At 37.5% G+C, this 27,590-nt stretch overlaps 1 protein-coding gene across 21 annotated transcripts in view, besides 1 other annotated feature; it reads left to right on the top strand.

Moving 5' to 3' along the window:
• Positions 1-27,590, top strand: part of DMD (dystrophin) — a 2,220,167-nt gene that overhangs the window by 1,174,310 nt on the left and 1,018,267 nt on the right. For 5 of the 21 annotated variants that reach the window (NM_004023.3, NM_004020.4, NM_004022.3 and 2 more), the window contains exon 1: positions 9,610-9,708. The gene's annotated coding sequence lies outside the window, so the exon portion shown is untranslated. 21 annotated transcript variants of the gene reach the window in all.
• Positions 27,220-27,420: a silencer, noted in NCBI's record as "peak7374 fragment used in MPRA reporter construct". NCBI's record gives its function as "represses an SCP1 promoter by STARR-seq MPRAs in K562 erythroleukemia cells {active_cell/tissue: K562}" and the evidence as "EXISTENCE:reporter gene assay evidence [ECO:0000049][PMID:32103011]".

Here is a 27,590-nt window from a genome sequence, read left to right as displayed (position 1 = left end):
CGAGGTTCTCCATGAGGTCTTCATTCCTGCAGCAGACTTCTGCCTGGACATCCAGGAGTTTCCATACATCCTCTGAAATCTAGGCAGAGGTTCCCAAACTTCAATTCTTGAATTCTGTGTATCCACAGACTCAACACCACGTGGCAGTTGCCAAAGCTTGGGACTTGCTCCCTCTGAAGCAATGGTCCGAACTGTACCTTGGCCCCTTTTATCCATGGCTGGAGTGGCTGGGACACAAGGCACCAAGTCCTGATGCCGCACACAGTGGTGGGGTTGGGGGGGGGACCTGGTCCACGAAACCATTTTTGCCTCCTAGACCTCTGGGTCTGTGATGGGAGGAGCCGCAATGAAGGTCTCTGACTTGCCCTGGAGACATTTTCCCCATTGTCTTGCCTATTAACATTGGGCTCCTTGTTAAATATGCAAATTTCTACAGCCAGCCTCTCCAGAAAATGGGTTTTTCTTTTCTACTGCATTGTCAGGTTGCAAATTTTTCAAACTTTTATGCTCTGTGACCTCTTGAATGCTTTGCTGCTTAGAAATTTCTTCTGTCAGATACCTTAAATCATCTCTCAAGTTCAAAGTTCCACAGATCTCTAGGTCAGGGTCAAAATGATGCCAGTCTCTTTGTTAGTCATAGCAAGAATGACCTTTACTCCAGTTACCAATAAGTTCTTCATCTCCATCTGAGACCACCTCTGCCTGGACTTCAGTGTTCGTATCACTATCAGCATTTTGGTCAAAACCATTCAACAAGTCTCTAGGAAGTTCCAAACTTTTCCACATTTTCCTGTCTTCTTCTGAGCCTCCTAACTGTTCCAACCCCTGCCTATTACCCAGTTCTAAAGTTGCTTCCACATTTTCAAGTATCTTTATAGCAGTACCTCACTACCTCAGTACCACTGGTCTTAACTCCTGCGCTCAAGCGATCTGCTTGCCTCCACCCCTAAAGTGCTGAAATTACAGACATGGTCCATTGTGCCGAGCCAAAATTGATATTTTATGTATGACACTCTGGGCAGACCTCTATGAGGTGACATTTGAACAGAAATCTCAAGGAAGGGGAGAAATTATCCATTTACATATTTGGGGAAAGAGCATTCCAGGTAGAAGAAACAGAAAATCCGTAGTCTTGAGGAATGCCGTGTATATGCAGTATTTTTCAAACTTGTTATTTTGAAATACATATACACTTACAGGAAGTTGCAAAAGTATTAAGAAAGATCATGAGTACCCTTCACTCATCTTCAGCTAATGGTTACATCTTACATAATTATATGTAATATCAAAGCCAGGAAACCAGGAAATTGATGTTGATACAATCTATGCTTTATTCAGATCTCACATCTTACATAGCTATGCACAATATAAAAACCAGGAAATTGATATTAACACAATCTATGCCTTATTCAGATCTCACCAGCTTTTACATGCACTTATCTGTGTCTGTCATTCTATGCAATTTTATACCATGTTTAGAGTCATATAACAACTACCCCTATTTTGATACATGGTACTGAATAGTTCCAGCGTCACAAAGGAACTATCTCAAGCCACCCTTTAATTGTCACACCCATCCAATCTCCCATTCTACTTCCTGAATCACTAGCAACCCCTAATCTGTTCTCCATCTCTATGATTTTGTCTTTTCAAGGGAGTTTTCTAAGTAAACTCATTTGGGGAAAGAAAGGAGATGAATTGTTCTAGCCACGGAGTGGAGAACAGAGAGTAAGAGTACCTATTGAAGCAGAGGGAGTCATTGCAATAATTCAAATGAGAAATAATGGTGATTCTAAACCAGGAAGCTTTCAGTGAAAACAATGAGAGGTACATGGATTCTGGGTATTTTTGGAAGGTAGCACTACCAGGTTTGCTGATGAATGGGGTATGGGGTGGGAAAGAAAGAGAAGAGCCCAGGATGAGTCCAAGGTGGATAAGGTGAATAGAATTGAGAAAATGGTAGAAGGATCAAGTTAGATGGTAGAGGGGTAAAGGTGGAAGCAATAATTTTGTTTTGGAATTGTTAGGTTTGAAATCTTGTTAGACATCCCAGTAAAGTCACAAAGAGTGCAGTTGGATGAAAGTATGGGATTCAGGGAAGAAGTATGTGCTAGAGATGCAGATTTGAGAGTCATCTGTGTGGAGGTATTATTCAAATTCAAGTCCCCTTGGAATGAATGGCTATTCAGGCAGGGTCTTCATAAAAATGCTTGTTGCATGCCTGTAATCCCAGCACTTTGGGAGTCTGAGGTGGGTGGAACACTTGAGGTCAGGAGTTTGAGACCAGCCTGATCAACTTGGTGAACCCCCATCTCTACTAAAAATACAAAAAAAAAAAAAGTTAGCTGGGCGTTGTGGCACATGCCTGTAATCCCAGGTACTTGGGAGGCTGAGGCAGGAGAATTGAGCCAAGATTGTGCCATTGCATTCCAGCCTGGGCAACAAGAGCAAAACTCCGCCTCAAAAAAAAAAAAAAAAAAAAAAAAAAGCTTGTTGCTTCAAATTCATGTCAGTCTGTAAAATTATCTGGGAAGGCAGTACAAAAACTGTCACTTTGACTACGATGTTTCTGGTGACCCATCTTCATTGATCAGTATGGAAAAGGCATGTCTCTGAAAATCTCTGAGAGTCTTTGATACAGCAAGAACATAAGGATAAATCATTCTTCTATGTTCATGGTTGTAGAGGATCTTGAATGTTTAATGGCAGAATAGCCAGATCACACTCTGGCACTTCTGTATGAGAGGCTGAGGGATGTTACTGATTCACCCCGAGAAATATTTACTACTAAGGGGACAGAGGCAAAGGGGATACAAGACTTCACCCTGAGCTGTAGCGCTCCCTCCTTCCCTATCCTGCTTTCATTCTTCACATTGTTTTCCTTCTTTCTTTTTTATTATTATACTTTAAGTTCTGGGATACACGTGCAGAATGTACAGGTTTGTTACATAGGTATACATTTGCCACGGTGGTTTGCTGCACCCATCAACCCGTCATCTAGGTTTTAAGCCCCACATGCATTAGGTATTTGTCCTAATGCTCTCCCTCACCTTTTCCCTGTGTCCACATTGTTTTCTTTCTTTTTGAAGCCTCTCATTCACTAGGTTTCAATCCTGCCTTGCTAGTGTTCTAACTCTAAGGCCTAGGCAAGTTATTTCACCGAACTTAGCCTCAGTGTCCTCATCTGCAAAATGGATAGTTTTATGATATCTTCAGCCCTTAAAGTCAATGGTTCTGACAGCTAGGGTGTACTATCTTCTTGGATATCAGTCATCTCAAGCAAGCCCTCCTTTTTTGGACCTTCTTTTCACACACTTCACATACCTTAGAGAACATAATACACATCCTCTTTACTCAGGGCTTATTCTTTATAACAGGCTTCCTAATTCAATTAACTCAACTTTTCAAAAATATTAGTGACTACTGTGATGTAAATAAATTTGCATTTTATAGGGGTCTTAGTAACCCAGAAGGGAGTGGGGAAAATTAATATATATTGAGAGTTTATTAAGTGCTAGGTACTGTAAATATTTTCTTGTATTTAATCCTCCGAGTAATTCTACAACAAAGATATTATCATTGCTATTATGTAAATAAAAGAACAAAGTAGAAAGAAACCCACGGTCTTGTATAAGCTCCCCTAGTTGGTGGGTATTGAAGGGAGTATTTCAATCTTTGGTAGCTTCTGAGTTTTTGTTCTCTCAGGGAATCTGCCAGATGTCCAGGGCACCTGCCAAACCCTATGAGGCTATAAGAAAACCATTAAGGGTCTTAGATTACCCAGCTTTTTGGGAGTTAGAATTCTGAATGAAATTTAGTGTTCCTGCAGCTACAAAGGAATTGAGTTAGGGAAGTGATGACTTTATCTTTAGCTACATTGGTTATTTTCCTTATAATAATCCTGGCTTGGTAGATTAGAGGCAGCCCGAGTAACCCAGAATCGCTAAAATAGAAGTGCGAGCTCATTGCCCGCTGTCCTTCACTATGTTTGCATATAGGAAGCAAGAATAAAACAAGCATAAAATAGGCTAACTAGCTTGTCAGAGCTCTTCACACCAAGTCTTTGTGAGTTCCAATAAGACACTGACTATTATTAAAAAGACAGAGACTCCACATAAGTAGGAATTTATTGTTTTCCTTTTCAGTCACCAAAGGACAATCCTCTGCATAGGTTAGCAAAAAATGGTACTGATCCTATAATCTCTAATATTAAAGTTTAGATTTGGCAAGCTGTACATCTTATGTTGTTCATTAACAAAAAACAATATTGATTGGTATCTTGTACTATAACTTGTACTGTGGGTCAAATTCCAATACAGCAAATACCATTGCAATAACAATTCTACAAAACTACATCAAAAAAACCTTTCATGTTTGAGCCAACAGCCTGATAGTGCTAAGGACTTTGAGTACAGTATGCTAGAAGATTCTTAACAGTTATTTGTCCTGGACAACAAAGGTTGACTCCATTAAAAACATAGCCATCAGTGTGGGATTATTTCCAAATCAAGCTTTTGGAAAAGTCAAATGAAAGTTTGCAAGCAGGTGGGGCATGGTGGTTCATGCCTGTAATCTCAGCACTTTGGGATGCTGAGGCAGGCGGATCACCTGAGGTCAGGAGTTCGAGACCAGCCTGGCCAACGTGGTAAAACCCCCATCTCTACTAAAAATACAAAAATTAGCTGGCTTTTGTGGTGCATGCTTGTAATCCCAGCTACTCAGGAGCCTGAGGCACGAGAATCACTTGAACTCGGGAGGCAGAGGTTGCAGTGAGCCGGGATCATGCCACTGCACTCCAGCCCACATGACAGAGTGAGACCCTGTCTTCAAAAAAGCAAAAAACAAACACGCAAACAAAAAAAAAAAAAACCAAAGTTGGAATGCAATAAATGTTCATTGAATGAATACTGAATAGGGAGTTTCAGCTAATCCACTCAAAATAGTGCTGAATTTCCAGCTCTAAGGTCAATGCTTGGCATATATATCCTGAAGGAATGAATGGACACAGAGTAATTTTTTTTCTAAAATGCAAATTCAATTATGTCACTTCCCTTCTTAAAATCCTTCAGTAGCTTCCCGTAGCCTCCAGCATATTATTTTGAATAGTGCTTCTCAAACTTTGATGTGCATCAGAATCACCTGGGGATTTTCTTAATTAACTGATGCTGATTCAGTAGGTCTGGGGTATTGTCTGAGATTCTGCATTTCTAGCAAGTGCTCAGGGTTATAGCAATGATTTTGGCCTGCAGACCATACTTTGGGTAGCAAAGACATAAGCCACTTAACTTGACATAAAAGACTGTTTAGACCCTTAGTTTCTCTCTCGCTCTTTCCCCATTTTGAGCTTTTGCTCCGGTTCATGTTTTTCCCTGAAAATACCGTGATCTTACATTGTCTGTCTGGATGCTGAATTTTCCCTAATTCTGGGCCTCCATGTAGTTTTAGGTTTGACATCACAACCACCAAAAGATTTCCCCTTCTCCCTTAATCTTGGTTAATGTCACTCTCATGTATTATACTGTTAATGAAGCATTGAGGACATAAAACTTATCAAATATTTTATCACAATCAATGATGGCACCAGTGATAACATCCAAATGCCTGGGTGAGTAAATAAGAGGAGAATAGGGGACTTGTTGTTAAACTAAGTTTGCAGAGAAAAAATGTACTGATTATAATTAAATTGGATGTTTATTTGTTATGACAAAAAAGGAGCTAGAGTCTTTTAATCCACCCCTTGGCACCACTGCTTATCTCCTTGTAACATACGTTTGATTCCCATGTCTATTTCTTCCATATGGGAAATTTCAGCTCCCTAAACATCACCAATACAACCTGTTGATAAGACAAAGTTAAATTTATTGCTTACTATGGTAAGAAAGACCACAGCCTGGACAAAGCTTTGGTAGTATTTCATAAGGAGAAAGGTGAGGTTGGATTTCATTGGGAGTATGAAGCTTGGTTTAAGATTGGTCTTTCACTGTGGGGGCACAATTAGGATTGGGTAAGGATCATGGTATTACAACTTAGTTTGGTGGAAACAGCACAGTGAAGATTTCTAGCCAAGAGGCTCAGAGACTATTAAGGTGTGAACTCTATTGATGTTTTTTGTTGAAGAGTTGATGGGAGTTTGGGGAAGTTACTTTAGTGAACAGTCAAATTATTTGCCTGGCCAAGAGTTATCTGTAATAGGAAAGTTATGCTAATGAAGACAATGGAAAGGTAAACCATGTTAATGTCGACAGCCAGCTATGTGAGCATAAGGGGTAGGTAGCTTTGGTCCTCCATGTCCAAACTGTTTGTAGTGGTAAGTGATCTTCATTCTCACATAGATTGAAAGCTTCCTGAGGACAGGGCAATGTCTTTGTAAACTTTAAAATATCTATGTCCTGCACATCACCTGCCGTAGACAAGCATCTAGTAATTGACGGTTGGGTAGATACTGAGGGAAAACATGCACCAAATAAAAATGGCAATAGGACACAAATTCACTATCATTTGGAAGAATAACAGTGTTTTCCACTGATATTTGCTACACACAGTGGGGTCCACAGAGCAGCAGTACCACTTGGGAGCTTATTGGAAATGGAGACTCTCAGGCACCACCGCAGGTCCAATGAATTAAACTCTGCTTTTTTTAAGGTCATTTGTATTCAATTATTATTTTTTTCTTTTTTCTTTACTTTCGATGCATTTTTCTTTATTTGTTTTTGAGATGGGGTCTTGCTATTTTGCCGAGTCTGGTCACAAACTCCTGAGCTCAAATGATCCTCCCACCTCAGCCTCCTAAGTAGCTGGGATCACAGATGTGAGCCACCACACCTGGCTTGTATCACATTAAATTTTGAGGAGCAGTGCTTTAATATCTATTCCATTCTCATCACTTGATGAGGTATTATTAATTCCACTTATGGATGTGGAAGTTGAAGCCAGAAAGTTTAAATGACTTGTACAAGGTCAAACAGCTTACAGGTAGTTGAGCCAAGAGGCTCTCAAGTCTTCTGCCTCCACAAACCCCTGTTCAGCTGCTGCCCTACAATGGAATAAAATATACTAATCCCAGAGGGACAAATATGCTAAAAATCTCAATATTATACACTTTGGAAGGTGCAGGTGCATTATCTTTCAATTCTAATTTCTCTTTCAAGTTTTCTGATGCATAAAAATATGAACAGCAGGTCTGAGCAATGTTTAGATGCCGTGCTTTGATCCTTTTGCCATTCAAGATGTTTGATTTGCATTCTGCCAAGGAATGTCTGGTAACCTCCATGATGCAGACCACACCATTAGTCAAGAGAGAGCTGACGTACCTTCATCTGAGAGCTGGCTGGCTGTGAGCTGCTCAGAGGGAAAGGATTTCTATTTACAAATTGTATCGATTATTTATAAATAAAAGTTCCCCTTGCTTTCTTCAGTTGTAAAATCTGCAGTTAGAGAGTCGGGAAGAAGATCAAAACTGCATACATTTGCATCTGCCAAGCCTGATAACTAGTTCCAGAATTACAGAAATGGTGCTGAAATAGCACCTCAAGTACCAGGCTCTATCAAATTTAATCTATCCATAAGGCAACTGCCAATTATATTTTAGAGAAAAAATGTAGACTGAAAAGATAGACAATCCAAGTAGCAACTCCTGTAAAATTATATGCCCATAGGAGCAATCTTGAAGATATAAATATTGGTATGTTTCTCCTTCATTTATCATTTATCTGATCATTTGACAAGTATTTATTGAATGCCTGTTAAGGGTGTAGATATATGTGGTGAGGCTGCAGGTGTAAGTAGGTCTTTCTGAGGATATGCATGAAGTTGATGTTCATAACTTGGAGATGTGTGTATACAGACTGAGGATTCCTTCAGTGGATATTAAGAAGTGGAGTAATAGGCAGTAAAGAATACACTAGTCAGTTGTGGTACATAAACACGTCAGCACCACTTAGGTATTAACTTCCTGTTTTGTTTTGTGTGTGCTTAATTACGCTGTTTATTAAACAAGCACATCATAATCTGCAGATATTGTCATAAACAGCACAATAAAGCCTGCCACATCAGAATGTCATCTATCAAATTAGGTGTGTTCCTCAGCTGTCCCGATAGGCACACACCTGTGCCTGTAAATAGGCGCTTGGCGGAGATTGCTTCCAGGTGTGGATCTGTTGGGCGACCTTGGGATGTAGGGCACTTTGGAACCTTTTCCTCTAGCTTCAGGAATTAACCTCTGGGCTTGGTTCCATGCCAGCTTGCATTTTGCTTTGGGACAGTAACATGTAAAGAATATGCCTGTGAATTTAGGGTTACTGAGAAGTCCTCATAGAAGAAGTAAAATTTCCTTGAGGAATGGGAGTCTTTTATTCAATCCAGGTTTAATGCAAGGCTTGGTGAACAGCTCCAGAAGGTTAATAATTGCGTGCGTGTGTGTGTGTGTGTGTGTGTGTGTGTGTGTGTGTATCCTTTTGTCATTCAAAAGTATACGTATACACACACACCTGTACAGCTGATGATAAATATACATTGTATCAATGAGTTCAAATGAAGTGTGCTATTCATTCACTGAGGAATGGGCTATTATAATGAACTATTATGATATTAGAAATTGTCAGGGCAATAAGCAAATAATACATACGGTTTTCAACAAACTTTCTAAGTATTGTTATCAGTGGGTTTGCTTAAATCTTTTTTTACAAATTTATTTATTTTTTTGAGACGAAGTCTCGCTCTGTCGCCAGGCTGGAGTGCAGTGGTGCAATCTCGGCTCACTGCAACCACTGCCTCCCGGGTTCAAAAGATTCTCCTACCTCAGCCTCCCGAGTAGCTGAGATTACAGGTGTGCGTCACCATGCCCATCTAATTTTTGTATTTTTAGTAGAGACGGGTTTTCACCATGTTGGCCAGGACAGTCTCGATCTCTTGACCTTGTGATCCATCTGCCTCAGCCTCCCAAAGTGCTGGGTTTACAGGCGTGAGCCACCGTGCCCAGGCAATAGCCCCATTGCTCAGTGAATGAATAGCACACTTTATTTTAACTCATTGATATAATGTATATTTATCATCAGCTATACAGGTGTGTGTGTGTGTGTGTGTGTGTGTGTGTGTGTGTGTGTGTGTTGAATGACAAAAGGATACACACACACACTCTTATTAACCCTCTGGAGCTGTTCAGCAAACCTTGCATTTTTTACTTTCATTACAGTGTGTAAATAATTTAGCAAATTCTAATTTGAACCTGATATCAATTGAGCATTTAATATTTAGCCAAATATTTATCAAGTGCTGACTGTGTTCTAGATGCTGGGGCTGCAATTTCGAAACAGACCATTGAGGCCCTCATGGAGCTCACAATAAATGATCTTCCTTAAAGTATCAGGTCTCTGGTTTGTTACCGTATTTTTTAAATTGTTAAGGAAAGAAAAAGGCCCTATCTTTTTGTAGACAAACATGCCCTAAGTGCTTCCAGAAATAATCTCCATCAGGTAATGCAGACTGTGTGTGGAGTGAAATTGAGTCCAATCCATGATCCAGCAGAGTTTCAGCCCAGGATTTCTTTAGAGCCTTTGCTACACACAAAGTTGGCTGATGTGCCATTCAGCATCCCAGCAGCTCTTTCTCTTCACACTAGCAATGGCAAAGCTTTGTGCGGAGGCATTGCTGGCTGCTCTGAACTAAAAGCATCCGTGGGGACCGAAAGAGGTTTTTGCACACCTTATTAAGGTAGGCAAGTGTGTCTGAGTGTGTGTGTGCCTAAAAGCTGGAAGACATCTGTTGAGAGGAAAGTGCTCTTCTGTGGGTCTGGCAGCTTTTCTGTAAGTCTTCTATTCTGATGCAGGAGCGTGTGAGCAGTGGGTGGGAGGAGATGCTTTGGTACTTGGAATGCTGAGGTCCGGATTAAGTGGTATTGTAATAGCTAGTTAGAGGCAGAATAAAAAGCTGGGAATCAAAGCATTTAAAAATGCATCCTTCCATTATTTGCTCTCAAGTTAAACCATATTCATTCTAGGGGAAATTAAAAAAAAAAAAAAAACACAGCAAGGGCAAGTAGCCCAAATCTGTAAGGTCTTTGAGCTTCTCTGTTCGTCCAGCTTTTGAAGTCTTCCTACAGCCAATTTGTTTGGCTCCTCTGGAGGGGGCAATTCATATCCACTTCCCTCTCCTGGAGCATTTCTTTCTTCTATACTCCATCAGGGAACAATAGAGTTTAACAGTAACAGGCAATTTTTTTTTTTTTTCAAAGCTTGTGCCCTCTTCTGCGTTTAAAGGTGTTTTTTAAGAGACTCCTGCTAGGGGAATCTTGGCGCCTGTGTGTTAAGACGGCAATTAACTTTTAGTATCAGTGCTTACATTAAATTTTCTCTCTTTCTGCTTTACTAAAGCAGTCATTAAAATTCAGTGTGAGTACCATGAAACTTTATCATAAAACCCTGCTTTGCTTAGAGAACCTTGATTGTTTTCTGAAAGCAGCCTTCTCAGTTTATATATACATAGCTGCCTTCCTTGGAATATCAAATTGCTTTGTGTCACATTAAGAAACACTAGGTTGAACCTCTATACTGTGTTTTATCTGAGAAAAATACTACTGCAAAAAGTTTGATTTGTTCAAGTTTTAGGATGAAAATTTCTTTGTAACAAGTTATTTGAGTTGCATACTATGTCATCGTATATCTCTTTAGTTCAAGTAATTTTGCAATTAACATACGGTTATGTAAAGAAGATAATGATTTATTTTTTATTTATATTTTTAAAAGTTATTAAGTGAGGTTTTCCTTTCAGTAAGAGTTTAGAAAAAATAGCCAGAACAAGTAACTGGACTTGGAAGATAAAGATACCTTTGCACTTCTAAATTTTACCTTTGTACACTTCGGTTGTGATTTAATCATTGAAATGCCTCTGCTTTGAAGTAAATGCATCACTTATGGTGTATGCTGTGTTTTAATAAAGGGAAAACAGTTATGGGTTCTCTGTTGCACATTTGAATGTTGTTATTTTTTGCTGTATTTAATAACCTCTTTTTTCTCTTGTGAGGTTTACTTTGGAAATGAGGCATGTTCAAAAATAGGCTGACATTCAGCTTCTATGTTTTAAATTTAAATGCTGTCTGTGTTTTATCACATCTGGAATGTGTGGGGAGAAAAGATACCAAGTTTTATTATTTAGATTTAATTGTAGAATTGCAGATTGATATTTTTCAATGCATTTTCATTATAGTTTCTGCCATGGAGGCAGCGTGAGGGCTTTCAGGAAGATGGAGTGGTGTAATTACCAGGTGCGCACGTTCATTAATCCTTCCTGGCTAGAGAAAGCTTCAAGTTCTTCTCCAGTGGCCCATTCGTAAAGCTATAAATATCTAAATTGTGTCAGCCAAGAAGTCACACAGAATGGTGGCTCTTTTTGAGTTCAATTTCATGCACTGTTGCTTTGGTCTTGTGAGGAAAGCTCTGAATTCCTTAGGATAGTCTTGGTTGTGAAGTTCCAAAAACAAAATATCAAATCATTAAGGATTTAATTTAAAATACATACTCTTCTTTCACAAACTAGATGATTGCAGTAATGTGGATTATAAATTTTTTTTTTTGCTTTATTTCTTTAGAGCTCCTCTTTTTATTTTGTATGATCAAGATTATAGCTGAGATTTTGGTGATTTTTTTAAAAAGATTTATGGCTTATGGTCCATCAGTCTCTCCACTACTTCAAACCTGTGTACCCCTGTATATTATCTGCAGTACTGGAATGTTTGCATTGTATGTGGAAGCTATATACGATTTGGTAAAAAATAACACTTAAAGGTCTTCGCTAAGAGTGCTTATTTAATCATTAAATATCCCTTAATAAAAATAATTCCAGAGATATTGTCTGTGTACAAACTTAAAAAAAGAGAAATATAAAATACTGTGATGTGAATAAAATGTATAGCAATACACTCCAATAATACCATTCTTATGTTTTCCCTTGTTCTCAACTGAAATAACTAAGCTAATAGAGACGTCAGTAAGGAATGTGTTGTTTCTTCATAATACAACTACAAACTCATCTGATAAGAACAACCTGAGAGTGAACGTTAACTTTCCTCATTAGAAAGATTCAATTTAACACATATATACAAATACATTTTTAAGATAATGATATTTGCAGAGTTTTTGTATTCTATGGAGTAAAGGAGAATTATCACATATTCAAAGTAAAGGTATAAAATACATCTTAATGTTTTACTTAAATTTTAAAGGGTCCAAAATATACTAAAATTGTTTTTCTAATTCTTTCCTATGTTTAAACGTGCCAGAGTCATTGGAAATAGGACATTCTTTTTCTTAAGAAGATTTTGCCCAAAATATTTAAAACTATTTTCTTTTCCCTTGATTTTACAATTTCAATATTCATGGATTTTTCTACTTTAAAAATAACAGTAGTTTTTATGATCTTAAAACAAATGTTTAAGGGCACTTTCGCTCTCTGGAGACTATACCATCCACATATTTATTATCAGCAAAAGAAAGGGCAGGGCATACTTTTATTTGAAGTTGAGTATAAAAATGTGTCTGTGTGTGAGTGTTATTAAAAAGATAAGTGAAGAGACAAATATAGAATCCAGGAACATTTTCAGCCTGGCTTTTACTCTCTCTAAAAATCTAATGAAACCCTTGAGCATCTCTTATCTCAAGGTACATTAGGAACTGTCCAACACTATGATCCGATGGGAGATCAGTATATTCATATAAAGAAGAAAATTTGTTGTTAGTGAAAGTCAAGTCTTTTAAAAAAATAATAGTTACAGCATTTGCAATATACAAGCATAATAGATTTACTCAACGCCCACCCCCCATCTTTAAAAAATCAATTTCCGACAGTTGTCTACTTTAAAATTGAACATATTTGCTACCTGGAGGGAACATTGTAATGTAGCCCATATGTGGTATGCATCCTGAAGAAAACCTGAAATTATAGAGGAAGTTATCCTGCCTTCTTTCTTCTGTTGAATGAGTTAAAATATATTAACAATTTGCCTTTCACTTTGTATTTATCATTTTGTATCTTTGCATATTTACATATACATTCATGTGTACAAGGGCATATATACTCACAGGTCAGGGCTATTTAAACAGCTATTTATTTGAATATGCCAGGGAAAATCTCCAAGATATAAAGAAGCAGTTATTAGATACTATGTCAGTATAGAATTAACAGCCATCTTTTTTAAGATGGAAGAGAAAATTAATTAATTACATACAATTTCTAACCTCAAGACATTTTCTTTCTGGAGACAAGGAATACTGAGGTGCTCACGATAGTGAAGACTCAACAAGACCCTAATAAAATAGATGAGGATAAGTAAAACTACAATAGCCAATAAAAAACAAAAAACAATAAACCATGTTTCGCTGGCATGTTGGTGAGTATCTCTGTAATATCTGTCAATAAGGGTCTCTGTAGATTTGGAGTAATGTTCAGGAACTACCTGTACTAGAGAAGACAGTGGAGAGGACTCCAGTGGCTAAATTCTGCTGCCTTTGCTTCCAGAAATGTAAATAATAAGGAGGTATTGTGGCATTTCCTGGAAGCAGTAGTCTTGTTTCATGGTCTGACTGTATAAGAATGCCTAGAGAAACATAACCTCAGCTGACTAAACTCCCTTGATGATTGTCACTTTGTCACTGAACTCTGACCATACCTTTTGCCTCCAGAGGCAAAAGACGGGTGAGGAAGTGATCTCCTCATCTGGTTTTTAAACAAGTATATAACTAGAGAACTGGATTATCTCCTAAACCCACTCTTGTCCCTGGAAAAAGGGGAGTCATCCTATCCGTTTCTTAGCCAATTTATGTATACTCTTAGTTTGAGAGCATGAGAAGGAAAACTATTTTCTTTTCTTACCTTGGCTGGGTTTTTAAGAATTTATTTTTAGTTTAATCAAAATAATATTTTAAAAGGTAGTAAGCCTCTCATAAGCAGTTTGATCTGTTCTAAAATAACTTCAATTTTTCTTTTTTTAAACTTTCTTTTATCTTACACACAAAGTATAATAGTAATATGTACTCACTAGAACAAATGAAACAGGATGGAGTCACATAGAGAAATATATCATATTCTCCCTATCCCCTCCCTTAATATTAACATTTAGGTGTCATGTGCTTCTCCATTAATTTTCATTGCAAAGGCCTAAATTTTCTTCCAAGAGTGAGGAGTAGCAGCACGGTAGTTTGGACCTGATATAGCTCTCTTTCCCTAGCCTTTTGCTTAAGTGCTTTCCTAGGGGCTGACTTTACTTACCTAAAGATGTTTCAAGCAAGGGCTCACATTTTTGGTAGCAGAAGACACTTACTGATTGCTCTCACTAATAATTTTGAAAGGAATGTCAAAATCTGGGAGGATCATGAAAGAAATATCAGAAATTTCCTTTCAGCTGCCATTCTCCTTAATACTGTTATCAATAAATTCAGCATCTCATATGTGATAGCAAAAAAGGTGCTGCCTTTTGTTCTTGCATCCTGAGGTTCTTACCTAATACCATGGTAGCAATAAAGATGGTGAGAAAATTGCTTCTTCTATGGTGTTCAGGTCCTGAACGAGCACCCTCACCTCCACAGACGGTGGCAGGTATTCAAGCATTTTACAGACTTTGGAGTTAAATATAGCAGTGTTATTCTAATTTAGGTATGCCACCACCAGCGGCACCGGCAACTGCAATAGGAAAAATGATTGGCAATGCCAGCTATCTGATGTTTTCATGTGCCAGGTGCTGTCAGTTCTTCACAGTATTACATTCCATCCTCACAACAAGAGAGTGCCAGTGAGTGTTGCTGTGTGCCAGTGCCCAGGCTAAGGGCTTTGAACACATTACCCTGTTTTATCCTCATAACTTTCCACGTTATTTTTATTCCTGAATGAAGAAACAAGTTCTCTGTAGAGATGCTGTCATTGATCCACTCATATCCTTTCACATCCGTTTAACATTTTCCCTGCTGTGCTTTTACTCCCAACAACTAGCTCCCTAATCGCTCTGTTGGAGGGTGGCCTTGAGGCTGCCAGAGCCTATTTGGTCTGTGTAAAGAGAGAGATGGATCTATCCTGGAATTTATGTCCCTGTGTGTGGGAAGCCCTTAATCAATGACTGCTGGTTGCAGACACATAAATACGTGAGCTTTCTTGTTCCCAACTGAGAAATTCAGAAGTGTGAATGGCACTGCCACCCTGGGCTTTTATGCCATATATGTGTTTGGTCTGTTTCCCTTCCCAATCTCACTTCATTTTCCCTTACCAGTGTTTCTTGAAAACACATCCCATTAGATCATTTTTGCATGAAGCTTCATCTCAGAACCTCCATTTAGGGAACCCAAACTAAGATATTCTCTAAAATAGAAACTTTATTGATAAAGTTTCCAAACTGTCTTAGTAGATGGCCAATATAAGACCAAGCCAAATCTTTCTGGGTCCAAATTCCCTGTCTTTAATTAATAGACTCCATTACAACACATTCTTCAATCTTTAGTCAGCAAACACTTACCACGTGCCTATTTTATGGCATATTATATTTATACCATAGTTAGGATATTATGGTTCATGAATATTTTATATCTGTACACCTGAAATTCTATTGACCTCTCTGGGCCACAGTTTTGCATCTGTAAAATCAGCACAATAATGCTACTTATCTCATAGAGTAGACTTAAAAACGAATGAAATGATATATGCCAAGTGTTGAGAATCACAATTGGCAATTACTCATGCTCATTAAATATTAGCTGTTTTTATGAGTATTGTTTCATTTTCGGTGCATAATATCCTATGCAAAGAACAAAAGGTATTGGTATAGGCATTGAAACTTGAAGCATAGAAGAAAAAGTTAATTAACCGGTGCCCCACTAGATGCCTCTAACTGCTGGCTCCGTGTATCCCTTTAGCCTTGGCTCGTCACGAGAAAACCTTGGAGACATTTCTGCTGGACTCAGCAGATCAATTTAAGAAAGATGAATGACATTTTTCTTGAAATGTATTCAGTCATAGCTGCCTTTTTCTACTTTCATATTTTGGAGTTCTTAGAAAAAATTAAGGACTCCTTTTTTTAAAGAAAATGGTATAAAAGAAAATGCATATCACTTTGTCACTTTATTATTGTAACCTCATCAAAGTATTCAGTGTAAAGACAGTAGCCAAGTGAACTCTTCTTGTAATGCTCGGAAACCATTTTAGCAATGGTAAAATTGCTGCAATTTATATTCGTCAAATTGCATGATTTGACTTATTTTAGAAAAGTTATTAACTTCTGAAGAGAATGCTTCAGAAGCATTTAAATGAGTACAAGTTATCACCAGTGATATACATAAATTTCATTTCAAAATATACTTCTAGAAACTGTACTTAGTTAGCTATAGTATTTGTACAAGGATTAATTCCTATTTCATTTTGTAGGAATTTATTTATGAATGTCTATGGCCTGCCAGTGTAAAGCAGACTTAGAGCATCATCTTTTACAATAATCTTTTTTTTTTTAATCAAAGGGGAGATATTCTGGTAAAACAAAACAAAACAAAAACAATAGTTTATTCTGCATTTTTATTAAGTCCCTCTGTAAGTCATCCCTGAAATGGGATATGTAGAGTCTTATATTTATTTATTTCTCAGAAGCTTATTGGAGGTGATATGAAGGATTTTAAGACCCTACTAACTAACAAAACAACAATTTAAAATTAATTTTCAAAATACCTTAACAAATCTTATTCTCCTTATTTTCAAATTCTTTAACAATGTTTTTCTTATTACTAACATAATATCTTCTGATGTAGTCATAATAATATCTAAAATGACAGGTCTAAGTAACTTACATGGATTAATTGAGTCTTCTAAATAGTAAGGTAGATGGCACTATTACTTCTATATGAGAAATGAGGAAGTAGAGGTATAAATAAGAAATTTTTTGGCCGGGTGCGGTGGCTCACGCCTGTAATCCCAGCACTTTGGGAGGCCGAGGCGGGCTGATCACGAGGTCAGGAGATCGAGACCATCCTGGCGAACACGGTGAAACCCCGTCTCTACTAAAAATATAAAAAATTAGCCTGGCGTGGTAGTGGGTGCCTGTAGTCCCAGCTACTCGGGAGGCTGAGGCAGGAGAATGGCGTGAACCCGGGAGGTGGAGGTTGCAGTGAGCCGAGATCGCGCCACTGCACTCCAGCCTGGGTGACAGAGCGAGACTCCATCTCAAAAAAAAAAAAAAAAAAGAAGAAATTTTTTTGAGTGTATACAGTTAGAAAATGGCAAAATGGGAATTCAGACCCAAACAGTAAGACTCAAGGATACCTTTCTTATCAGTATGCTAATATGAAAACCTAAGCATACTAGAAAATCTAAGTGCCAGTTGGAAACCAGAATTAACATTTTGGTGTGTAACTTTCTGGCTGCTTTTTCTATGCTAACAAACATATATGACATACAAAAATACACACATACACAAATTCCTGTTCACTACTTCTTTTATGTTAACATCACAATGTACCGTACACAGCTGTATTATTTTATATTTGATTTCATATTTTTTCTAAAGTCAGTGTATTTGTCAAATATCAACTTATCTATTTAATAGGAATATGGGATGATCTTTGCTTATACATACATACATATGTATATAAAAACAAAATCAAGTATTTTAAGCGTTCACCAGAAGTCATATGTCAATCAGTAAAGTATATAATTTTTTGCTGCCAATGACATATATCATAAAAACGCTACCTATCATAGAATGAAAATGAAACACAGCAATATTGGGACACCTATTCTCAAGCAACAGCTTTGTGATTTATTAGCTATCTCACATGAAATAACTCATTAACTTGGTATTCCAAGCAGCAAAAGAAGGATCACTTAGGTCACTTGCAAAATAATACAAAGCTAGGTTTAGGGGTGGGTTGCGCTTGGTGGGATGTAGATGAAACCATATGGGCCCTTGAGTTTATAATTGCTGGGATCTGCATGGTGGGTATATGGATGTTTATTACAGTATGCTAGTGAGTTAAGAAAGAAGAGGAATTATTATTGACTTACATCATAGAGTTTATGCAAAAATTAAACGATAATTTATTTTTAAACTCTAGAGGTATAGGTACCATCATGAAGGGACCCACAGAACTGATGTAGCCAGTAATTATTGGAGCTGGAACAGATACTCTGCTGTCAGTTGTTCTGGTTTTGTGGTCATTGTTCTTGCCTTTGCAAGTTACCAACTCTAAGACCTTGGGCAATACTTTAAGTCTTGGTTGTCTCATCTGTAAAATGGGGAGAGCAGTAAGTGTCTTAAAGGTTTATTCTCATGTTATATGACTTACGGTATGTAAAACATCTGCGTTTAGACACATAGAGGGTGCTTAATGGATGATTGCTCTCATTATTAGGCTACATCTAATCTATGAATTTAAAAACTGTATAGAAATATGTGACAGATTCTTTAAGAGCCAAATACCAACTACAGTGAAAAATACTTAACACTTGCTGAGCTCTTAGTATGTGTCAGGCTTAACTACCTTAATGCTCATAGCAATCCTATAAGATAGGTACTCTTGTTATCCTATTTTATATCTTCTAAAATTGAAGCAAGGGAAGTTAAATAATAGGACAAAGATCATACGCTATCTATCCATATATACCCATCTGGCTGTCTACCTGTCTCCTTCCATCCATCCATCCACTTATTCATCTACCCATCCATCCACTCAGTTACTTCTCTCTCTCCCACCATCCCTTTCCCTTTCCCTCTCCCTCTCCCTGTCTCTGTCACTCTCCTTTACTTATCTATCTATCGATGGATCGGTTTATCTATCATCTATCTATCTCTATCATCTATGTATAGTTGTTAATAACACTAACATTTTATAAATTACAAGACTGAAAAATGTTTTCATTAACTTATGGTAACAAAAGACCACATTGTGAATAAAAAAAGCAGTAAACACAGGTCTCTGCACATATGAAAGAGATGTCCTAAACAGGAAGAGATGTCCTAAACAGTAGGGATACATAGTATCATACAATCAAAACATGGCAGCCCTATAAAACTTACAAAGCAATTTCATGTAAGTTATTTCATTTGACTCTTACCACAATCTATGAGGTTACTATTTTTATTTTTCTCATTTTACAGGTTAAATTTAATATGGCTTCCAATAAAAAATTAGTATGGTTAATAAATATCTTGACGTCTTGCTCCTATAATCCTACCGATAGTTTACAGTAATTAGTAAAATAAAATAATAGGAAAAATACCTTTGATACTAGTATTAAATTATAATCATATCATTAGGTAATTTCAATTTGTGATTTTCAAGAATCTGTAATATGGTAGCTTCTTCCTACTGACATGTTTGAATTCATTTTAAGGCTTATAATTCACAAGTAATCTATATATTATCTAAAATGTAAATGCACATTCACATGGAGATAATAAATTAGCGTGAAATGGCTGTATTTTGCTCTCTATAATTTTTAACATACAGGAAATCACTGTTGTCTCAAAAATCAAGGAAATATAGTATTTGAGGTGAACTTATTCTTTCTACTATTAACACATTTTAATATAGTTCTCTCACAGTGCAACAGAGCAAGAAGCTTTCAGACACATTTGCTGCTGCAAGGAGCATGCTGTGCTGAACTTAAAACACCTTCCCTTTCAAACTCCTTGGGACTGTTTTTTTCCAAGAGACTTCAAATGCACTAAATTTAGCATCCGTTGGAGGCACACCCAGGCATATTATAGTGAAAGCCCCAATAACTGAATGTGTTACCACTATTCACAATGTTTATGTGTGTATATGCCTTATCTATGATGTATTGCAAATTACAAAAATTGTGTTATTATTCACAGTAACAAAAACACTTCCAGCAAATTTCTAACAGTGATCTCTTTTGAAATAACTTACATACATGTGTCATGGGTCTTAAACTTTGTCACTTTTATGTTTCCATCATGTTGTTTTAGCCAGTGAGGGTTTTGTTTGGTTTTCATTTATGATTATATACTTTCAAAAAATAGATTTCAAAGTGTGAATTTGATTGATTGATTGACTGATTCATTGAGACGGTGTTTCACTCTTGTTGCCCAGGCTGGGGTGCAATGGTGCGATCTCGGCTCACCACAACCTCTACCACCCAGGTTCAAGCGATTCTCCTGCCTCAGCCTCCCTAGTAGCTGGGATTACAGATGTGCACCACCACGCCTGGCTAATTTTTTGTATTTTTAGTAGAGACAGGGGTTCACCATGTTGGCCAGGCTGGTCTCGAACTCCTGACCTCAGGTGATCCACCCTCCTCAGCTTCCCAAAGCACTGGAATTCCAGACGTGAGCCACCGCGCCCAGCCCGTGAATTTTATTTTTGAAAGACAAGAATGTCCTTGCCTAATTGCATAATAGTTTAACATCATGAAGACTAAATATGCTTTTTAGCCATGACAATTTTATTTATTATTGTTTTCATTTTTAATTTTCTCAAAGATCCTCATCAGTGTACTCTTTTTGGTCTTCCTTATAAGCGTATTTTAACAGGACATAATAATAAGATAAATCCCAACTTTTTAAAGTTGTATCCGTATGTATTACTTTAAAGTGCTATTAATATAAACGAATTAGAGGCAACTTTTATTCAATCAGATTTTAAGTAATTTTACCAAAAATATGGCCTTGATAATGTCTCTGTAACAGGTTCTCTGTAATATACATGCTGAGGATTGGTTTGTCTTTGCTTTTGATACTATTTTAATTAGAAAAGTAATGGGGAATCCAGACCCTTCTCATTTAATAATCCAGAGAAAAATCAGTCCATGTTCTAATAGTTTAAATTTTTCTACTAAAACCCATGTGAGAATCCATATGAGTGGAATGGAGAGGAGTTCAGCTTCAAAGTTGGCAGATTTGAGATGATTCTATGGCAACAGAAATGTGCTTGAGGGAAATCAGTTGCGGCATCTTCTATAATTGTGTCACCTAGATTTTGCCTTAGGAATTTCTAGATTTCCATAGAACATTGTGACCTCAAATGCTTTATCTTAATAAAGAAATAAAAGCAGATTAGAAGAATTATTTGCCTACAGTTTGTGGGAGATGGGCAAGTCTTAAGAGTTTATTAGGTACCCAGAACGAAACATATTTTCTTGGGCCTCATAATCACATTGAAATACAAGGATTTAGTTATACACAGTGACCAGTTAGTGAATGACAGTCTTCAGTATCTAGTAGACAGTAAACATATAAAGATGTATTTGTGGCCGGGCACGGTGGCTCACGCCTGTAATCCCAGCACTTTGGGAGGCCGAGGCGGGCGGATCACGAGGTCAGGAGACCGAGACCATCCTGGCTAACACGGTGAAACCTCGTCTCTACTAAAAAATACAAAAAAAAAAAAATTAGCCATGCGTGGTGGCGGGCGCCTGTGGTCCCAGCTACTCGGGAGGTTAAGGCAGGAGAATGGCGTGAACCCGGGAGGCGGAGCTTGCAGTGAGCAGAGGTCAGGCCACTGCACTCCAGCCTGGGCGACAGAGGGAGACTCCATCTCAAAAAGAAAAAAAAAAAAAATGTATTTTTACTTTTAACTACAGCGAGAGACCCTGGCAGCCTACAGCATACAATTAGTGTTCATTATTTAGATTGCATGGATTTAATGTGAGGGGTCAATTACTTGTCTAACCAGTGAGCCTAGCCTCTTGCTCAATACTGCCTGCTTCATGAGGGTGAACTGTGCTGGAGAAATATATTACAGGATTATCTGCAGATTTTTTTTAAATGAGTGGTTAAGTCAAAAGTTCTTGTGAAAATTCAGAGTAATAAATTATTATGAAGTTGTGTAACTAGGTAAAGGATAGTTTCTTTTACACGGGTAAAGATTAACATGAGGAGGAAAACTTTAGCAATGGCATTTAATTCCATTCAATATATTTATATTGAGCTCCTTTAAAAATACAGGGCCTTGTGGTGGGTGCTGAGGACAGAACAAAAACCAAGTAATACATGAACATAACCCTTGATTTCATGATCTAGTAGACCTATAAAAGTTGTCGATATCTGATGAAAAGAAAATGGTAAAGATATTCCAAACAGTGTATGCAAATCCAGAGATAGGATGGAGGGGCTCTACCTGAAGGATGATGATAAGAAAACCGTGTTGAGTGAAGGGTGATTTGTGGAATTCAGATAAAATATCAGTCTTGAATGCTGAGTGAATACTCAATGATTGACTAGATCCCATGGACAGTAATTTCTTCAATTATGACGATGCTAGTGTTTATGACTATAACTATCATTCTCCATGCCAGGCACTTTGCCATTTGGTAAATGTATAGTGTGCTATTCTAACAAGCATGCACAGAGCTTTTACTTTAATGTATCCATGAGTTTATTGGGGTTCAGAATTTAGGTAAGCTTTGCAAGGTCGTAGCATGGAGTAAAATATCTGAAATTCAGACCCATATCTAACTAAGTTCAAAGACTGTACAGATATTTCTCCTCCTTTGTGCAGAGAAGGATAGGAATGGTTCCATATTATCATGGACTTAGTCAGATGTTTTAAAATTATAATGTCCTGTGTTAATGAAGAAGGGATGATATTCAGTGCATATTCTTAACCGTTACTTTGCTTAATGCTCTCGACTTTTCTGTGAGATGGATAGTGTAGATAAAATCCCCAAGGGGACTCAGCAAGTGCAAGTAAAACAATGAAACTTTAAAGCCCTTTGTCAAAACCTCTCTTTTTCTCAGAGGATGGAAGGGCCGTAAAGGTTGGTGAGGAAGGATGGACCATTTCCTATGTAGTCTTCTGACAATATTCAAACAAAAGGAGAGTCAGCAAATCCCCCTTGATGTGGGAAGTTTTAATACAATTTGCAGAGTGTCTCTCTGGAGTAGACATCCTCCTCTGCAATCGTGTCTTCTATATAGCCTCAGGGCTTTGGGTAGGTAATCCTCTCCAAGGAGAGTCCTGGAGAGGGCTGTCTACCCCCCTTGCACCATCCTCTAACATTATTCTATAGCTCAGCTCCTTGTTTCTGTTTCCTGCCTTGTTTTTGTCTGAGTCTGCAATTATGATGTAAGCACCATGAAGGAAGGTATGTTGCCAGTGTTTGCATCAGCATATCCCCCGTGTGTAGCAGCGCAAGGGATATAGTGAGCCCTCAATGTCTATTTGTAGAAAAAAGAATGAACGTATCAACGAAATCTGATACATATTCATTGTGTCTGTTATCTCCATCTCTCTTGTCCTGCCTTGTTATCTTGCCATTTTCACAAAAGGCCCCAAGGCCCATCATTTCTTGTGTAACTTCCAGAGTGTTAATTTTTAAATTAAAATTAAGGCTTTCTACATGAGTGTCTATTATTTGAGAAACCATGCAAGATCGTGTGTGTGTGTGTGTGTGTGTGTGTGTGTGTGTGTGTGTGTGTGTTGCACTCTATATTATATTGAATTCTGGATTTTTTCTTATAAATAAAATTTTAAAAATAGTTCTTTAAAAATAGGAATAAGATGTTTTAGGAGGCACAGAGAGCAAAGGAGAATAAAAATTGCAGGTTTGGGGTTGTGCATACTAATTGCCATTGAGTAAAGAGAGCACACTGAGGCCATTTAGAAGAGAATTAACGTGTTTTGTTTTTGTTTTTGTTTTTGTTTTTGTTTTTGTTTTTGTTTTGAGACGGAGTCTCGCTCTGTCACCCAGGCTGAAGTGCAGTGGTATGATCTCGGCTCACTGCAACCTCCACCTCCCGGGTTCAAGTGATTCTTGTGCCTCGGCCTCCCAAGCAGCTGGGATTAGAGGCGCCCACAACCACGCCAGGCTATTTGTTTTTTTTTTTTGTATTTTTAGTAGAGACGGGGTTTCACCATGTTGGCCAGGCTGGTCTCGAACTCCTAGCCTCAAGTCATCCACCCGACTCAGCCTCCCAAAGTGTTGGGATTATAGGTGTGATCCACTGCACCTGACCTTATTTTTATTCATTTAAAAATATTAAATGTTACTGCATAGGGAGTAATGGGCTTAACAATGAGGTGACCAAAACTCCTATGTACCATGCAGAGCAATGTATCAAATGTTTTTAACTATAAACTTCTCAAAAACATAAACCTAATTGTTCTGCAGCTGCAGGTTATATCTGCCTTGTTTGAGCAAAATTTGGTGGTGAAAATGCCTTGCTTCCATTTTTCCTTCAATAACTGATATGGTTTGGCTGTGTCCCCACCCAAATCTCATCTTGAATTCTACTCCCATAATTCCTACTTGTTGTGGGAGGGATCCAGTGGGAGGTCATTTGAATCATGGGGGCGGTTTCCCCCATACTGTTCTCATGGTACTGAATAAGTCTCACGAGATCTGTTGGTTTTATCAGGGGTTTCTGCTCTTGCGTCTCCACATTTTCTCTTCTGCTTCCATGTAAGAAGTGCCTTTCACCTCCCACCATGATTCTGAGGCCTCCCCAGTCATGTGGAACTATAAGTTCAATTAAACTACTTTTTCTTCCCAGTCTCAAGTATGTCTTTATCACAGCATGAAAACGGACTAATACAATAACCTATATAATTTTGAAAAGTACTTGTCTAATAGACTTTCACAATAGAAACTATATCCTTATCAACTTTGAAAAGTCATTGCTTAATGCCTTTGGATAACTGAATTTTCTAAGATTATTTTAATTTTGAAAGTTAAATTTTATCCCAGTGTTGACGATTTTTGTATGCTACTTTTAAAATATTTTGTCAGTGATTTATATCTATGGTGCAATCTTGTAAAAAATTAACAATGCAAATGTGGCTAGACCATTTAAAAATCAATATGTTATAATTCAGCCCATTTAATCACTTTAGTTAAACATCTTAGGAACAACTCAGTTCCATTTGAGAGAAGACACAGTTTTCTAGATGTGTGTTGTGGCATCATATTGCTTTACAATATCTTACATAAGGTGAATTCAAATCATATCATTGAATCTGTTTTAAATTCTGTCATAGCTTAAGATTAGTGACTAAATATTGGCAGGTTTATGGAAGTAGGATGTAAACAAGACAAAAACAAGGGTGGAACAAGTAATTTTAGTATATTATTCACTTGCACAGAGAAAAGTCATTCACACCTTCTTCAGCTTTGTGAAGAAAATAGACTAAAATCCTGTTGATATAGCAACTATGTTTTCCGTTTCTTGTATAAAAATAAAGAAAACTTCCTATTAGGAATTAGCCAGACATTTTAATTTTCTCTCTTCTTTCTCTATTTTCCCTTACAGTCTCTTTGAAGGCAGGCAAAATTTCTATAAAGTTTTAAGAATGTTTTAAGATTTTTTTATTGTGAAATATTCATAGACTCACAAGGAGTTGCAAAAACAGTACAGAGATTTCCTGTGTATACATAACCCAACTTTCCCCAGTTACATATTAACCAAATACAGTATATTACCAAACCCAATAAACTGACATTGGCACAGTGCAATCAACTAGACTGTAGACCTTACTTGGATTTCACCTGTTTTTGCACATGCTCTTTTACTGTGAGTCATTATCTGTTATTCTATGACATTAACCATGTCTATAGATTTATATAGTTACTACCACTATCAAGATAAAGAAGTGTTTCATCACCACAAAGTAACTTAAAGGATTATTTTTATAAAGTAATGACAAATGTGTCAAAAGCCATTCCTGTGTTATATAGCAAGTATGTTTTGAGTTATTAAAACTCACTGATCATGTCTTTCAGTGTCATAACTTTGGGTTTCCCTCCCTAACTATAATAATCCTGATGAATTACAGTTGATGAATATGAGAATATCCAACTCTTCCTGACTCTATAAATATATTGACTGAGATTGTAATATTTATGGTGTCTTAAGGGGCGCTTGTTTTATTATGATGATGTGAACATGTTGAGAATAGTAAGAACAGCCCAGTTTAGCAAACAGGATATGAGTCTTCTATATCCAGCTCAATCGTTGCCCCAACAGGGGACATCTGCCTTTGCTACTTAATTTTCCATTCTGGAAAATGTGAAGTGTATGAGAATGAATAATCGTCTCCGATTTTCCAGCACATAATAATCTGAGGAGAGCAGGTACAGCAATTTAGGAGCTGTTTTCTTTTGGTTTCCAAAAAAAGTTCCGTCCAGTGGTCTAAGTTAGTCGTTTACTAAGTGATAGAGCAATTGGCTATGCTTTTTGAACGGACTGATAATTATGTGGATGCAGCAAATAGGATATAGACAATGCATCTACTCCATTACAGTAAAAAAGACTCTGATAGCAGTTAATCCACATACCAGGCACTTAGCTTAGGCACAGTTGGAGGAAATGGAATGGTAATAGACTGTAGTATGGCATGACAGGAGCTGTAGCTTGAGATTCAGAATTCCAACTCTGCCTCTCAATATTTGAGTCCTCATGGCCAAGATATGTAAAGTGCTCTGTGCAGGTCTTGGCAACCATCCACCACACACTTAGTATGCAATATCTATCTTTATTAGTCAAGGATCTGGAAAGCTAGTTGATGAGACAAATGATAGAAACAAGAGTTCATTAGATGAAATAAAGTAATAAATGATGCAAGAATTTAAAAAAGATTTAGAGAAGGAAAGGGAACAGAACTCACATGCAAGTAGAGCAACTGTGTATCAGATAATGTGCTAGCTGAGTTAGAAACCATGTCTCATATTACCCTGAAAATAATTCTGCAAAGCTGTAGGTGTTATTTTTTTCATTTGACAGGTGAATTCATGAAGGCTTGAATATAGGGTTAAGTGAGTTGTTTCAATGTAGTTATTGATTCAAATCAAGATCTGAATGACTCTAAATATGGTGCTATAGAGATTTGAAGTAGGATAAATAGGATTTGAAAAAAAGAAAAAATATATAGGGAAAGGAATTGGTACACTGTAGCAGTGTCATAAATGAAGCTTCAGTTGTGTGATTCCAGATGATGTATGTGAGGCCTAATCAAACAGCTTTGTGGAATCAAAATTTCTGCTCTTGTCTCCAACTGGGGACGAGTTGGCTCGGGATTAAGGTGGGCGACCTTGGGAAGACTAGAGTCTAAGCAGGACTTTAGTCCCTCATAAGAATTATATGAGGATGTATATTTGCATACAAATTCCTGGGCCCACCGAGATCTGCCAAATTGGAATGTGTGGTGATATCACCCAGGGAAACATAGAGAGCTGTTATAATTAGTCATGAAATATTTAGTACTGAAATTATAGATTATGTTAAATAATCACTTATAGGGGACATAGCAGGGTTGGCAGGTTAACCATACAGCAAACAGGGTTGTAAGTCAGGGCCTAGAGAATTTTCAAGAGGCAGGAATTCTGCAGAATGAAGGCCTGGTCTCATGCAGCACCATGGACAGCTCCGAGGCACTCTTGTTTCTCCAAAAACCTGAAATCAAAAACTTTGCTTTTCATCATGCAACATACCCATGTAACAATCCTGCATAGGTACTCCCTAGTCCAAAATTAAAGTTGAAAAAAAAAACTATACTTTCATTTGAATACAGTTCTCTTCGGCTTTACCAGCTCTACTCTGGAAGGAATATCTTTTACTCAATGAAAGGCCATCCCCTGTTAATGCCTGGCCAGGTTCTCCTTATCAGTCATTCACT

Source organism: Homo sapiens, chromosome X (genome assembly GCF_000001405.40).
Source record: "Homo sapiens chromosome X, GRCh38.p14 Primary Assembly".
NCBI lineage: Eukaryota > Metazoa > Chordata > Mammalia > Primates > Hominidae > Homo > Homo sapiens.
Note: the sequence above shows the minus strand (reverse complement) of the source record. Positions and strands in the feature narration are given on the sequence as shown.